The sequence below is a fragment of the Homo sapiens genome, chromosome 5 (genome assembly GCF_000001405.40).
Source record: "Homo sapiens chromosome 5, GRCh38.p14 Primary Assembly".
Taxonomy (NCBI): Eukaryota; Metazoa; Chordata; class Mammalia; order Primates; family Hominidae; genus Homo; species Homo sapiens.
The window spans coordinates 105,744,042-105,760,337 of record NC_000005.10 but is presented as its reverse complement, the minus strand read 5'-3'; positions in this window follow the sequence as shown (position 1 = coordinate 105,760,337).

Genomic DNA, 16,296 nt, shown 5'->3' with positions numbered 1-16,296 from the left:
CTGCCTCACAGACTTCCACTCACCATCTGCCCCTTTGACACTAGCCTCTCTCTGACTGCCACTTGCTGATCGCCAATTGCCACCTCATCATTGCCTTGCCATCTCTCATGATGCTATCTTCTTTCTTCACCTCACACCCAGTAAGGTGCTATAGAGACATACCTGAAACTCGGTAATTTTAATACGCTCAAGGTTCTGCAGGCTGTTTAGATTCTGCTTCTAGGGAGGCCTCAGGAAACTTGCAATCATGGCAGAAGGTGAAGGGGAAGCAGGCACAGTCATCACATGGCTGGCGGGACAGAGAGCAAGTGAAGGGAGAGGAGCTACACAGTTCAAACAACCAGATGTTGTGAGAACTCCCTCACTATCATGAGACCAGCAAGGAGGAAATCCACCCCTATGATCAAATCACCTCCCACCAGGCCCTTCCCACAACATTGGAGATTACAATTCAACATAAGAATTGGGTGGGGACACAGAGCCAAACCATATCAGGTGCCAAGCTGATGCAAGGCAGGGGAATCCCAAGGTGGGGCTTAGCCCCTGAAAGTTCTTGGCTTTACCCAGGAAAGAATCCAAGGACAAGCTAGTGGTATTAACAGAAAAAAATCAACTTTATTAAAGCCGCAGTGTTACAGCTCTGGTGGTGTTACAGGTCTGTGAGTGCTCCTGCAGAGCAGGGTTACCCTGTAGGCAGATAGTAGCAACTCAGGGCAATTTTGCAGTCACACTTATACTCGCTTTTAATAATACACAGATTAAGGGGTGGTTTATGCAGAAATTTCCACAGAAGGGGCAGTAACTTTCGGACCACTGAGTTATTGCCGTGGAAAGGGGAGATAACTCCTGGGTGTTGCCACGACAATGGTAAACTGACATGGCACACTGGTGGGCATATCTTATGGAAAATTTCTTCTGCCTCGACCTGTTTTAGCTGGTCCTCAATTTGGTCTGGTGTCCAAGCCTCACCTCTGGAGTCGAGTCCCGCCTTCTACCTCAAAACCAGCCACAGCATTCCCTTAAGACAAAGCCTAATCTAGAGCAAAGCCCTAACTCTCTTCAGTTTTATACAGGCTGACAGAGGAAAGGAAGCTGCAGAAGAAAATTTTGAAGCTAGCAGGGTTGGTTCATGAGATTTAATGAAAGAAACCATCTCTGTAACACTAAAGTGCAAAGTGAAGCAGCAAGTGCTGATGTACAAGCTGCAGCAAGTTAGCCAGAATATCTAGCTAAGATCATTGAGGAAGGTTGGCCACAGGAAAGAACGACTTTTAATGTGGATGAAACAGCCTTATATTGGAAAAAGATGCCATTTAGAACTTTCATAGCTAGAGAGGAGAAGTCAATGCCTGGCTTCAAAGATTCAAAGGACAGGCTGACTCTTTTGTTAGGGGCTACGGCAGCTTGTCAGTATAAGTTGAAGCCAATGCACATTGACAATTTCAAAAACCTCAGGACCCATAAAATTATGCTAAATTGACTCTGCCTGTGTTCTATAAATATGATAACAAAACCTGGAGGACAGCACATCTGTTTACAGCATGTTTTACTATTTTAAGTCTATTGTTGAGAACTACTGCTCAGAAGAAAAGATTCCTTTCAAAACATTACTGCTCATTGACAATGTCCCTGGTCACACAAGAGTTCTGATGGCAATATACAAGGAGATTAATGTTGATTTCATGTCTGCTAACACAACATTTATTCTGCAGCTCATGGATCAAGAACTAATTTTGACTTTCAGATCTTATTTAAAAAATACATTTTGTAAGGTCATAGGCGCCATAATAGTTGTTTCTCTGATATATTGGTCAAAGTTAATTGAAAACCTTCTTGGAAGCATTCACCATTCTAAATTCTATTAAGAACATTGATGATTTATGGGAGGAAGTTGAAATAACATTAGCCAGAGTTTGGAAGACGATGATTTCAACCCTCATGGATGACTTTGAGGGGTTCAAGACTTCAGGTTAAGAAGTAACTGCAGCTGTGGTGGAAATAGAACTAAAATTTGTGGGACCTGAATATGTGTCTGAGTTTCTGCAGTCTTATAATGAAATATTAATGGATAAGGAGTTGCTTCCTGTGTATGAGCAAAGTGGTTTCTTGAGATGGAATCTACTCCTCATGAAGATCATTGAAATAACAACAGGCCGGGCACAGTGGCTCACGCCTGTAATCCCAGCACTTTGGGAGGCTGAGGCGAGTGGATCATGAGGTCAGGAGATTGAGACCATCCTGGCTAACACAGTGAAACCCCATCTCTACTAAAAATACAAAAATATTAGCCAGGCATGGTGGCAGGCGCCTGTAGTCCCAGCTACTCAGGAGGCTGAGGCAGGAGAATGGCATGAACCCAGGAGGCAGATCTTGCAGTGAGCCAAGATTGTGCCATTGCACTCTAGCCTGGGCAACAGAGTGAAACTCCGTCTAAAAAAAAAAAAAGAAAAGAAAAAAAAAGAAAAAAATTTAGAATATTGTATAAACTTAGTTGATAAAGCAGTAGCAGAGTTTGAGAGGATTGACTCCAATTTTGAAAGAAGTTCTACCGTGGGTAAAATGTTATCAAACAATCACTTGCTACAGATAAATCTTTTGTGAAAGGAAGAGTAAGTTGATTTGGCAAAGTTCTTTGTTGGCTTATTTTTTTTAAATTGTCACAGCCATCTCAACCCTCAATAACCACACTCTGATCAGTCAGCAGCTATCAATGTTGAGGCAAGACCCTCCAACAGCAGAAAGATAAAAACTGGCTGAGTGCTCAGATGATTGTTGGCAATTTTTGGCAATAAAACTTTTTAAAATTACAGTACAATTTTTTTAAATATAATGCTTTGTGCACTTAGTAGACTACATTGTAGTGTAAACATAATTTTATATGCACTGGGTAACCAAAAAATTTGTGAGACTTGCTTTATTGAGACATTTGCTTTATTGCAGTGGTCTAGAAAGCAACCTGCCACATCTTGGAGATATGCTGGTAATTAGCAAAACTAAAGAATTAACTTTCATAGATTCCATTATCTAAACTAAAGGCCTTTTTTGTTATTCCAGGATCATGCATTCCATGAGCTCACATTATATCTTTTAGTTGCATTTCTTATCCTCCTCCAATCTGTGACAGTTTCTCAGTCCTTCCTGCTTTTTTTGGAGACAGAGTCTTGCTCCCTCATCCAGGCTGGAATGCAGTGGTGTGATCGATCACAGCTCACTCCAGCCTCCACCACCTGGGCTCAAGCCATCCTGCCTCAGCCTTCCAGGTGCCACCACACCTGTCTAATTTTTTAATTTTTTGTAGAGACAGGATCTCACCATGTGCCCAGGCTGGTCTCAGACTCCTGGCCTCCCAAAGTGCTGAGATTAGCGGCATGAGCTACTATGCCCAGCCCTATTTCTCTTTAATGGCCTTGGCACTTTTGATGAGTACTCATCAGTTCTTTGTAGACTATCTTTTCATTTGATTTTATGTAATATTTTCTTGTTATTAGATTAAGGTTATATATTCTTTGGCCAGGATTACCACATACGTTATATACCTTTCATAATGCATGTTATCAGCAGGTACTTTATATTAATATGTCTTAGCACTGGCAATATTAACATTGATCACTTGGTTTAGTTGGTATCTGCCAGATACTCCACTGTAAAGTTACTGTATCCTTCTTTGTCTTTAATAAATGTTCTGGGAGACATACTTAAGACCATGCAAAAACCCGACTTTATTCTTACCCATTAGTTTTAGCATCCATCAGTGAGCCTTAGCTACAAGTGTGAGCATAGTGTTCTAATGATATTTTCTATTGTCTTCATTTCTTCTACATTTACTAACTGGAATTCTTTGGAAGGAAGAGCTAGCATTTTTCCTTTATTTACTTATTTATTTAAGACTTTAAATTATTGTGCATTCATGTATATCTATTTTATTCTGTGGTTTATATTCTACTACTGTTATTATATTGTTAGTGATGTTTTTTCAACTTTGGCTATTGGGAACCCTTTCATGTTGATTCTTGTGCTTTTTGGAATGCTCCTATACATTTTTGTGTACTTTCTTTTTGTTATCACAAGATACTCCAGGATATCTTGTATTTCCCCATCCTAGCTTTGAAACCAACCAGTTCTCTAAAGATCTTGTTTATTTTTGTTGTGGAATAATATTTTTTTAATCAACGTATGTGTTCTGGGTGTGCCCATTGCTACTAGGATATCCTTGCTTCTAGAACATTTCAGGGAATAGAGCTTGGAAATACATGTATGTATACTAAACCCATGCACACAGACATCTCTATATTTCTAAATCTATCTTCCTGTATATATATTTTAAAGCCACAAATTCACATTAATACCTTGATTAATTGCAACATTACAAGATTTATTTCAGCTGTCCTCCTTTCCTTATTTGCCATTTTTTTCTAACAATGTGAAGCCTGACTCTCATGATAAGATACATTTACTTATTTGTTCAACTCTAGCATATTCTTAACAGAGTTTCAGAATTCTAATCCTTACCCCAGTGAGAAAAAAAATCTGTAAAACCTGAAACCACTTCTAATACAATATTTTATCAGGTAAGTGCAGTTAGTTTACTTTTGGTATTATGCTTTAAAATCATCAAAAGTAATCATTAAATATGTAGGGAAATAAACTTTTTTTTTTTGCTATTTTAAAATAATATGCTCTATTTTAAAGGAAAAAAATTTAATGTAAAGCTAATTGTATTCTTATATGTTACACATTTTGACATGAGTACAATCCCTTTCCTATAGATTTTTCAGCCGAGAGACAAAAATAGCCTCGAGTATGTCATAACATGATTCTTTTCCACATTCTAACTTAGCTATTAAGGTAGAGTGGAAATGCCCTTGATGAATTTCAGTGAACTTTCATGCTCACTCCATGGGAAAATCTGAACAAATGAGCATACCTTTAGAGTCTCGAGCACAATGGAGTATAAATGTACAAATCATTGCCATTATTATAATTGCACTACTATGCCATATTGAATAATGTTGGTGAATTAGCATTACATTATAAGGGCTAACTTACTGTATAAATAATCTATTACATTTTTACAGAATAAATGAAAGTGGAAATAATGGGCAACATTAAATTAAAAATGCAGTGCATGCATTCATTTAAGTATTATATACTAATATTCAGATAGATGCTGACATGTTTTATTGATTTTTGCTCATTTTGTTCATAAAAGATCAATTTTATATGAACTGTTTAAAAAGAAGCTTTCCTTTTTCTAGGCAAGACATAGATGAGAGAAACTTTCACATTCTGATGTCTATATAAGCATATTTATTTTAACTTCTAATAATATACTGGCTTAAAAATCTAGTTTTCAACCATATTTCTATTTGATTAAAATAGAAGTTCTCTCACAGACAAGAGTTTATAATAAGAAAACAGATCGTAGAGGGAGAAAAGCACAGCTTCCCCTACATATGTAAGATGAGATGGCAGAAATTAATGACCAAATACGTAGAAAAAATATTTTGTCTGACAACATTTTGTTCTGTTGTTTTTGTGTCCCAATGTGTCTTAGGCACCATTGCCCATTTTTTCTCTTAAACTGATACAATAGAAGATAAATCGCCAGTCATTAAACTCTGAGACAAAAATCTTGAAAGTCTCAAACACTGGAAAGAAAATGTTAATAAATTCAACCCATCAGTTAAATTTTAAATTTTAATTCCAATCGCGTGGAGAAATACATAAATTGTTACTTCTCTAAACAAAAATAAAAGTGATAAGATATAATATTAATCTAGTACATTTTGGTTATTTAAAATCCTTGAGGAAACTTAATCAGAAATGCCAATTAAAACATATTAATTTTTATATTTTTGAATTGAAATTATCCTAAAATATTCTTATCTAAATATCTTACATTCTCAAAATAGAATGTAAAAATAATCTCAATATTAACCATCCTAATTTATTTACAATTTTTTATTAAATGTCTACTCTGTAGCAGACACTTTTCTGGAGAGGAGGAGGGTTGCTGGGAAGTTTCTTCAGCTGAGTAAGGAATCCAGATACATTCCTGTAAGGCAGTTTAGCAACCACAGTCTATCAAGAAGCTTGTACATTTAGAAGGAATGTCTTTGCATTCAGGCAGGTAGTAAATTGCTAATCCAGCAAAGGCCATCAAATGAGAGACTACTGGCTTAAGCAAACAATGCCAGAGGGGTTGGTAGGGCAAAACCCAGAAAAACACCACCTATCCCAAAAGTACACTGAAGTCCTGGAAGCGAAGTGTCTGTGACAGAGGGATGCTCAAATGACCAAAACCTTAAGAAGGATCACAGGTAGGTTTAGAGGAGGGCTGGAGGAGAGAAAGGAGTACATCTGAGGATGAAGACAAACATGAGACAGTAATAAGAAAGAGGAAGTTTTGCTGGGTTTAGAATCTGAGAAAAGATGAATGTTTTCAAGGAGACAATATTGATTTCACAGACTTTTTATGTATTTGTTCTTTCCTGAAAAATAATTTTAAAATAATATTTGTTGCTAATACTTATGTAGTGCTTACTCTGTACCAGACACTAAGAACTTTAGAATCACACGCACAGCAATCCCATGGAAAATTAATAATATTAACCCTAATTTAAGGAGGGAATGCATGGACATACACGAAAGGCTGGAGTAACTTGCAGAAGCCACATGATTAGTAAGTCTTACTAGGATTTCATCTCATGGTATCTGGCTCTAATCTTTTCTCTTGTCTACTGTGATATATTATCTTTCAAATATTTGGCTTTAACTTACGTTATTTCCACCATCAAAAGTGCAGAAAAGTTGAGTTGTGCTATTCTGGACATTATAAAGGATTTATTCAATGGCTATAAACTTTATTAGAAAAAAATTCCCCAAGAAACTATTTTCATGAGATAAGAGTGGATACATATTAATTACCATATCTTCCTTAGTTCCCTTCTTCTTTCCTACCTTCCTCCATTCTTCATTTCTTCTTTCCTTGCTTTATTTCTTTTTTTTTCAGATTAGTGTTCCTTTTGCTTTTAGCTGTCTTTGCAATAACCTGAACAAATATTAATGTGGGAAAATAAAAATATGTCAATGATATATTCATTCTTTAAACTTATTAAGCTGGATGCTTCCCAAAAAGGATCTATATGTGTATGAGAAACAGATTTAAAATCCAGGATGGCTTACCAATAAACTCTTAAACCCCCCCAAAATATCTAAAAACTGCTTCAGTTAGTCTGAAATATGAAACCTGAAGTGTTTGTTGAGCTCTGGTTGGAGCCCCTATTGGTGGTTCTCTCCATAACAGTGGCCATAATTCCTACTTCTGAGTCATCTGCATTTTGCTGTTCTGTGTGTGCGTGTGCACATGTGTGTGTGACTGTGTGTGTAATAGCATTTAAAATAGATGGATTAAATTTCTTTCAAAGATTAGCATACGCAATGTGACTATTCAAATAGCGAGTCAGTTTGGAGTCTATAATCTTTGAATCATTGAGTTCCTGAGTTTTAATTAAAAGACCAAGAAAATACTTTCTTCTTAGTTCATTCATTTTTATTTGCAGCCAATCTCATGCCTAACTCTTTGTCAATATATTTTACTAATGATCCAGGCAATTCCATACAAAGAATTATGACATAATTTTATATAAAAACTAACTCTTAAAATAAAATTTCTTCTCTTTGCCTATTGCAGATGAAATATTACCAACAATCTTTCCTACCTTATTGATTCTTCCTTGCTTAGGTACAGCAAAGACATGGGTAAAAAAGACCTTCTAACAGGGCTGAGACATTTGATCCACTTCAGCTGTGCTCTGCCTCGCCTCATGATTTAAAAAATCAATGGTATATCAGCTTAGTAGCCACTGATCCGTGAGGTAATTGCACCTTCTAATGTCTTCAGCACAAAGCTTCTGAAATGGACAAAGCCAATGACTAGAGGGTAAAAAACATGTTTTGTTTGTCTTTTTTTCAATTTTGTGACCAAATTAAGAAATAATCATCTCTGTTTGCATTTCTGAAGGAAAAATAATATTTGCCTTGGAGGTGTAAAGCCACTATTAAAAATTTTTATTATACTGAGATTATTATTCTTTTTAAAAAACTGGCTTTATTGTCCTACATATTATAGTTACCTGTAAAACTTGTGTGTAGGCTTCTGACCTAATTCATTAAAAAAGTACTCTGGATTTCATTATGGAGAACTGAGCACTTCATTTGTTTGTTAAATATGGTGGGAAATTATCCCCACTGCTTTTGTTATGCTGCTTAGAGACATCTTAACTAACTAGATAGGAATTCTTCTTTAGGAAAGAGATGTGGGCTTAAGTAAATATTAAACAAATTGAATATTAACACACAGGGAGAAAGTAAGATTGATGATCTGACAAAACATTAATTAAAAGAAGGAACATTGCCAAGATTTTCTTGTATAATTCAATTCCACATAATTCAAAAGCAAAATTAATTTACTGTTCCTTATTTGACAACAAAGAGTGAGTTTCGTACTGATTTTTTTTTAATGTGTGCACACATGACATGGTAAAACTCTGTAATCGGAAACATGGTTGTTTAACCTCAGAGGTTTGCATTTAAATTCCAGAATTCCATAGAGACAGAACATTTGTTTGAAATGAAATGAGCTTATACTTATTTCTGCAGGTTCCTAGGCATATACAAACATCAAATACCAATTTCTGTATTAATTAAAGGAAATAACCCTAACATATTTGGCAATTTTTACTTTGAGCAGTTGCCAGTTTGCACAGCCCAACATATGCTGAATTTTTTATATAAAGTGATTTATTACAAAATTTACCAATGATGGCTGACACTATTTTTTAAAGTTTATTTGCCCAAGTATTAACAGTTTGAAAGATTAAATATCATTATGTATTATAATGCTGAGTATACTTACTAATTTAATACTGAGAAGACTTGAAAATTATTTCACATCACTGTCATTTCAAAACGTTATTTCCGCAATAGAGATGTAGATGATGATTCTGTTAACTTCCTGTCTTTATCTCTTTCAGTTATGGTTAAAAGGAATGAATCTTTTTGGATTTCCAATCTTGATACTCAACTAAAATGTAAATAAATATGGCTTAGTAGGCTGGACGCGGTGGCTCACACCTGTAATCCCAGCACTTTGGGAGGCCGAGGCAGGTGGATCACGAGGTCAGGAGATCGAGACCATCCTGGCCAACATGGTGAAACCCTGTTTCTACTAAAATACAAAAAATTAGCCAGGCACGGTGGCACACACCTGTAGTTCCAGCTACTCGGGAGGTTGAGGCAGGGGAATTGCTTGAACCTGGGAGGTAGAGGTTGCAGTGAGCTGAGATTGTACCACTGCACTCTAGCCTGGCAACAGAGCAAGACTCCATTTCAAATATATATGTGTATATATATATATATATTTTATATAAGTATAAATAAATAAGTAAATATATATAAATAAATATATATATTTATATAAATATATATATTTATTTATATATAAATAAATATATATATTTATTTATATATAAATAAATATATTTATATATTTATTTATATATAAATAAATATATTTATATATTATACATAAATATATAATATATATAAATGGCTTAGTATATTGATCTGTTAAAATTTCCTATGACTCCATTTGAATTGCATAACTTAACTGAAATTTAATTTACTCATCTATAACAAAGGAACATTTTATCTCATTCATAATGTATATAGTTTTCTTACTCTTTCTTTTCACATTGAGAGTCATTTAAGCCCCACTTGTAACAGCCATATAATACATATAATAGAACATGATGAAGCTCTTAGACAGTGAGGCATAGCTGCATATCCTCTTCAAGAACACGACCAAGATATATTTAGTGGAGCAGATGAAGTGCTACATAGTGTGTGTGGTAGAACAACATATGTCAGTGCTGTTGAATATGGTAGCCACTAGCCCCGTGTGGCTTCTCAGCATGTGCCATGTGGCTAGTTCAAATTGAGATGTGCTCTAAGTATAAAATATACCAAATTTGATGACAATATTCAAAACATCAAACACCTCATTGATGATGCCTTATGATAATTTCTTGTGGAAAATGTAATATTTGGGATAATTGGATATAAAATACATTGTTAATTTTTTAAATGTTATTTCCAAACAGTCTTCTTTTCTGTTAAAGACTTCAAGCAATAATTTTTTAAAATATTTAATTCTTCTGTTTGATAAATTTTTATTCCAAATTCATGGCTAAATGTATAGCACTTAAGTGATGCCAAAGCAAACACTCCTCAGACTTCTAAATATCTAGAAACAGACCTTTCTGCAACAATTTTCTAAGATACTGGTTAAATAGCACTGATGTAGCTGAGAAGATGTAACATCATGGCAAACTTCTGAACTTTAAATTTCCCACCCTATCAACCAGAAAAAGCTCAGGACCGGATGGATTCACAGTTGAATTCTGCCAGATATATAAAAAAGAGTTGGTACCATTCTTACTGAAACTATTTCAAAAAATTGAGGAGGAGGGACTCCTCCCAAACTCATTATATTAGGCCAGTGTCACCCTGATACCAAAACCTGGCAGAGATACAGCAAATAAAAGCGAAATTTTCAAGACAATATCCTTGATGAACATAGGTGTAAAAATTCTTAACGAAATACTGGCAAACCAAATCCAGCAGCATATCAAAAAGCGAATCCACCACAATCAGTTAGGCTTTATCCCTGGAATGCAAGATTTGTTCAAATTACACAAATCATTAAATGTGATTTACCATATAAAACTAAAAACAAAAACCACATGATCATCTCAATAGATGCAGAAAAGGCTTTTGGTAATATTAAACATTACTTCATGTTAAAAAACCCTCAACAAACTAGGCATTGAAGGAAAATACTTAAAAATAATGAGTCATCTATGACAAACCAACAGCCAAAATCATCCTGAATAAGTAGAAACCAGAAGCATTCCCCTTGAGAACCAGAGTAAGACAGGGATGCCCACTCTCACCACTCCTATTCAACATAGTACTGGAAGTTATAGCCAGAGCAATCAGGCAAGAGAAGAAATAAAAGGCACGCAAATAGGAATAGAGGAAGTCAAATTATCTCTGTTTGCAGATGATACCATTCTGTATCTAGAAAACCCCATAGTCTCTGCCCAAAAGCTCCGAGATCTGATCAACAACTTCAGCAAAGTTTCAGAATACAAAATTAGTGTATATAAATCAGTAGCATTTCTATACACCAATAATGTTTAAGCTAAGAGTCAAAGCAAGAATGCAATACAATTCACAATCACCAAAAAGGAATAAAATACCTAGGCATACAGGTAGCCAGGGAGGTAAACAATGTCTACAATGAGAATTACAAAACACTGCTTAAAGAAATTAGATATGACACAAACAAATGGAAAAACATTCTATGCTTATGGATAAGAAGATCCAATAATTTTAAAATGACCATGTTCCCCAAAGCAATTTGCACATTCCATGATGTTTCTATCAAACCACTAATGACATTTTTCACAAAATTAGATAAAAACAAAACTATTTTAATATTGATATGCACCTTGAAATAGATTGAATAACCAAGAGAATTCTAAGCAAAAAGAACAAAGCTGGAGGCATCATGTTACCTAACTGCAAAGTACACTACAAGGCTACAGGAACCAAAACAGCGTGGTACTGGTACAAAAACAGACACATATATCAATGGAACAGAATAGAGAGCCCAGAAATAAAGCTGTACATTTATAACCACCTGATCGTTGACAAAGTCAACAGAATCAAGCAAAGAGTAAAGGATTCCCTATCTAATAAATGGTGCTGGGATGACTGACTGGCCATATGCAGAAGATAAAAGCTGGACCCCTTCCTTATACCATATACAAAAATCTACTCAAGATGCGTTCAAGACTTACATGTAAAACCTAAATCTATAAAAACTCTGGTAGATAACTTAGGAAATAACATTCTGGACATGAGCCCTGGCAAAGATTTTATGACAAAGACACTAAAAGAAATTGCAACAGAAACAAAAAATGAGAAATGTGATCTAATTAAATTAAAGAGCTTCTTCACAGCTCACAAACACAAAAATCAAGAACAACAACAATAAAAAAAACCTATCAGTAGAGCAAACAGGCCATCTACAATATGGGAGAAAATATTTGCAAACTATGTCTCTGACAAAGGTCTAATAGCCAGAATCTATAAGGAACTCAAAAGATGTAAAACAGAATTACCATTCAACCCAGCTATTCCATTATTGAGTATATACCCAAAGGTGTATAAATCATTCTACCATAAAGACATATGCGTGTGTATGTTTATTACAGCACTCTTTACAATAGCAAAGACATAGAATCAACCTAAATGCCCATTAATAGTGGACTGAATAAAGAAAATGTGATACATATACACATTGGAGTACTATTCAGCCATAAAAAAAGAAAGATATCATGTCCTTTGCAGCAACACCAACAGAGATAGAGGCTGTCATGCTTAGCAAACTAATGCTGAAACAGAAAACCAAATACTGCAGGTTCTCACATATAAGTGAGAGTGAAACATTGAATCCACATGGACGCAAAGAAGGGAACAACAGACACTGAGGCCTACTTGAAGGTGAAGGATAGAAGAAGGGAGAGAATTGAAAAACCACCTATCACTGGAATAATAATGGAAATATGTAAGGAGCTCAGATAACTGTATAGGAAAAAATCTAATAATTCAACCAAAAAATGGACAAAAGATTTAAATAGATTCAAAAGAACACATACAAATAGAAAAAAGACATATGAAAAGGTGCTCAACATCAGAAATGCAAATCAAAACTGCAATGGGATATCATCTCACTCCAGTTATAATGGCTTATATCTAAAAGATAGATAATAGGCCGGGCGCGGTGGCTCACGCCTGTAATCCCAGCACTTTGGGAGGCTGAGGTGGGTGGATCACGAGGTCAGGAGTTTGAGACCATTCTGGCCAACATGGTGAAACCCCATCTCTACTAAAAATACAAAAAAATAGCCGGGTGTGGTTGTGTGCACCTGTAATCTCACCTACTGGGGAGGCTGAGGCAGGAGAATCACATGAACCTGGGAGGCAGAAGTTGCAGTGAGCTGAGATTGCACCACTGCACTCCAGCCCAGGCAACAGTGCGAGTCTCCATCTCAAAAAACAAAAGATAATAACAAATGGAGAGAATGTGGAGAAAAGGGAATCCTTGTACACTGTTGGTGGGAATGTAAATTAGTACAGCCATGATAGAAAACAGTTTGGAGGTGCCTCAAAAAACTAAAAATAGAAAACCATATAATTCAGCAATCCCACTGCTGGACATTTACCCAAAAGAAAGAAAATCAGTATATTGAAGTGATATCTGCACTCCCATGTTTGCTGCAGTGCTGTTTACCATAGCTAAGATTTGAAAGCACCTAAGTGTCCATCAACAGATAAGTGGATAAAAAGAAATGTGGTAATTATATACAGTGGAGTACTAATCTAGCCATAAAAAAGAATAAAACCCTATTACTTACAACAACGTGGATGGAACTAGACATCATTATGTTAAGTGAAATAAGCCAGGCACAGAAAGAGGAACATCATATGTTCTCACTTATTTGTGGGCTTTAAAAATCAAAGCGATTGAACTCATGGAGATAAAGTGTAGAAGGATGGTTACCAGAGTCTGGAAAGTTTAGTGAGGGGCTGGGATAATTATTGGGTACACAAAAATACAAAGAATGAGTGAGACATACTCTTTGATAGCACAACAGGTGATTATAGTCAATAATAATTGTACATTTAAAAATAAAAGGGTAATTGGATTGTTTTAACACAAAGGATAAATGCTTGAGGGGATGGATACCCCATTCTCCATGGTGTGATTATCACACATTGCCTGCCTGCATCAAGAAATGTTATGTACCCGATAAATATATGCACCTATTATGTACCTACAAAAATTAAAAATGAAAAAAATGATGTGAAAAAAAGAAAAGATAAACTACCTATGGGGTACTATGCTTACTACCTGGGTGATCAAATAATATGTACACCAAATTCCTATGGTACACAATTTACCCATAGAAGAAACCTGCACATTGAACCTAAAATAAAAGTAAAAAAAAAAAAAAAAAAAAAAAATCCCAGCATGGGAATATTCTTCTTAGAAACAGAATGTTAGAATGGAAAAGGAATTTTGAAAAGTTACTTAATTTGGCTCCACCAGAAATCAGAACTGGGGAGTAAACTTAGATAAATTAATTACTAAATTAGAGAGTGCAATCCCAGGGAAACAGAATACAAGAGAAAAGAATGAAGCAGGGAAGAAGGAAGTCAATAAACAGATGTAGTACTGAGCTGCTACCTCATGGAGCTAAGCGAAAATGATTTCTAACTGGTGATATAGATAGGCTTTGTGTCCCCACCCAAATCTTATCTTGACTTGTACTCCCCAGATACTGAGGGAGAGACCTGGTGGGAGGTGATTGGGTCATGGGGGTAGTTTCCCCCATGCTGTTCTTGTGATAGTGAGTGAGTTCTCATGAGATCTGATGTTTTTATAAGTGTTTCACATTTCCTCCTACACATGCACTCTTCTCTCTCCTGTCACCACATAAAGAAGGTCCTTGCTTCCCCTTTGGCTTCCACCATAATTGTAAGTTTCCTGAGACTCCCTGACATGTGGTACTGTGAGTCAAATAAACCTCTTTTCTTTATAAATTACCCAGACTGAGGTATTTCTTCATAGCAGTGTGAAAACAGACTATGTAGCTGGAGACTTCTTCTGAAAGGCTGTAGGATTACTGGTCCCAGGGAAGTCCATGGTGAGGCAGGGCAGAGAGTAAGAAAAAAATTGTCTACCAACTTTCTTGATCTAAATAGGGAAATATTTGCCCTGCAGGGTGTTAATTCCATACCACTTATTTTTTTTTCCACAAGTATGGCCTCCAGTCAGGTCTGAGAAGTCTCAAGCCTCTGTGTCAAAGGAAAGTCTCAGGAAATAACTCAATAGAGGTGTGCACCTTGGCATCCAGGCAAGGTGCATTGTGTTGTGCCTGTGTGAAGTTAAGAGAAGTCATGCAGAGTTGGTCATTACAGTGGTTAATGAACCAAAAAGTTACCAAAGCTCCAGAAGGCAAGTAAGGATAACAACAACTAAGTAGCATATAAGAAGATATTTGTAACAAAAGCAACTTTTTTATTCAGACTAGAATAAAATTTAACATTTGGGACTGATTTATTAACCAACACTTCCGTAATTCAGAAGTGTAGCACCAGCTATATATGTAGGCACAATTTCTGAGTGAACACCTTAAAGTCAGCTAGGAACATTGTACTTTATTTCTTTATGGTGCTAATATTAGTTTAAGGAAGATCGTAACCTACCTTGTAGGGCAGTTGTACACTTGACTAGTAAGATAGTTCTGAAGCTATTTGACATTTTAAGATAGAAATAACATTAGATTTTACAAACTTAGTATTATAGAACATTTGAAACTGAAGCAGGAAATTTTCCCTGACCTCTTTCTTCATGGGCGGAAACTGGAGTGCACAGGCACTAGAACTAGCCGGCCACTTCGGTGTCAGCAGGGGTGGACTCCACTTGCTTGGTGCCACTGCCTTCCATCCCTTGCAAGAGGGAGAGTGTAGGTGAGTGGGGGTAGGAGCCAGGGCAAGTGCCTTTGGGCACCAGCAGGAGCGAAACTCTATGAGGCCCCACGGCAGCATCTGGGGAGATGCCCACAACCCCAGAAACCCCAGAAAGAGTGTTACAATCAGTGTTCTTTTAGCTTTGCTGTCCATATTCGGCTTAAGTGTTGACAGCTCAATGGAGGGTCAGTGTGACAGCCTTTTGCACCCACACCTGAGATCCTGTCTGGTGTCCAGGAGGAATGAGGTTGCATGAACAAATTGGAGATGGTCAATGTGAGGGATTTTATTGCCAATGACAGTGGTTCTCAGCAGGAAGGGGAACTAAAGAGGGGACAGAGCAGGAAGATAATCTTCCCCTGGAGTCCAGCCATCCCTGAGGGTTTTTATGGACACAGGATAGGGTTTTATGGGCACAAAATGGGGGTAGGGCAGGCCATGGGTGGTTTTGGAAAAGGCAACATTTAAGTCAGAAAACAGGAATGTATGTTCTCACTTTGGGTGGCAGTTCCAGACTTGAGGGTAGGGCCGTCACTGGGGACCTGCCCTGTCTGCCCAGAATTTCCCTGCCTCCTGTCCGTATCGAAATTACTTTGACATTTTGGAATGAAGAAAATTAATTATGCTTTT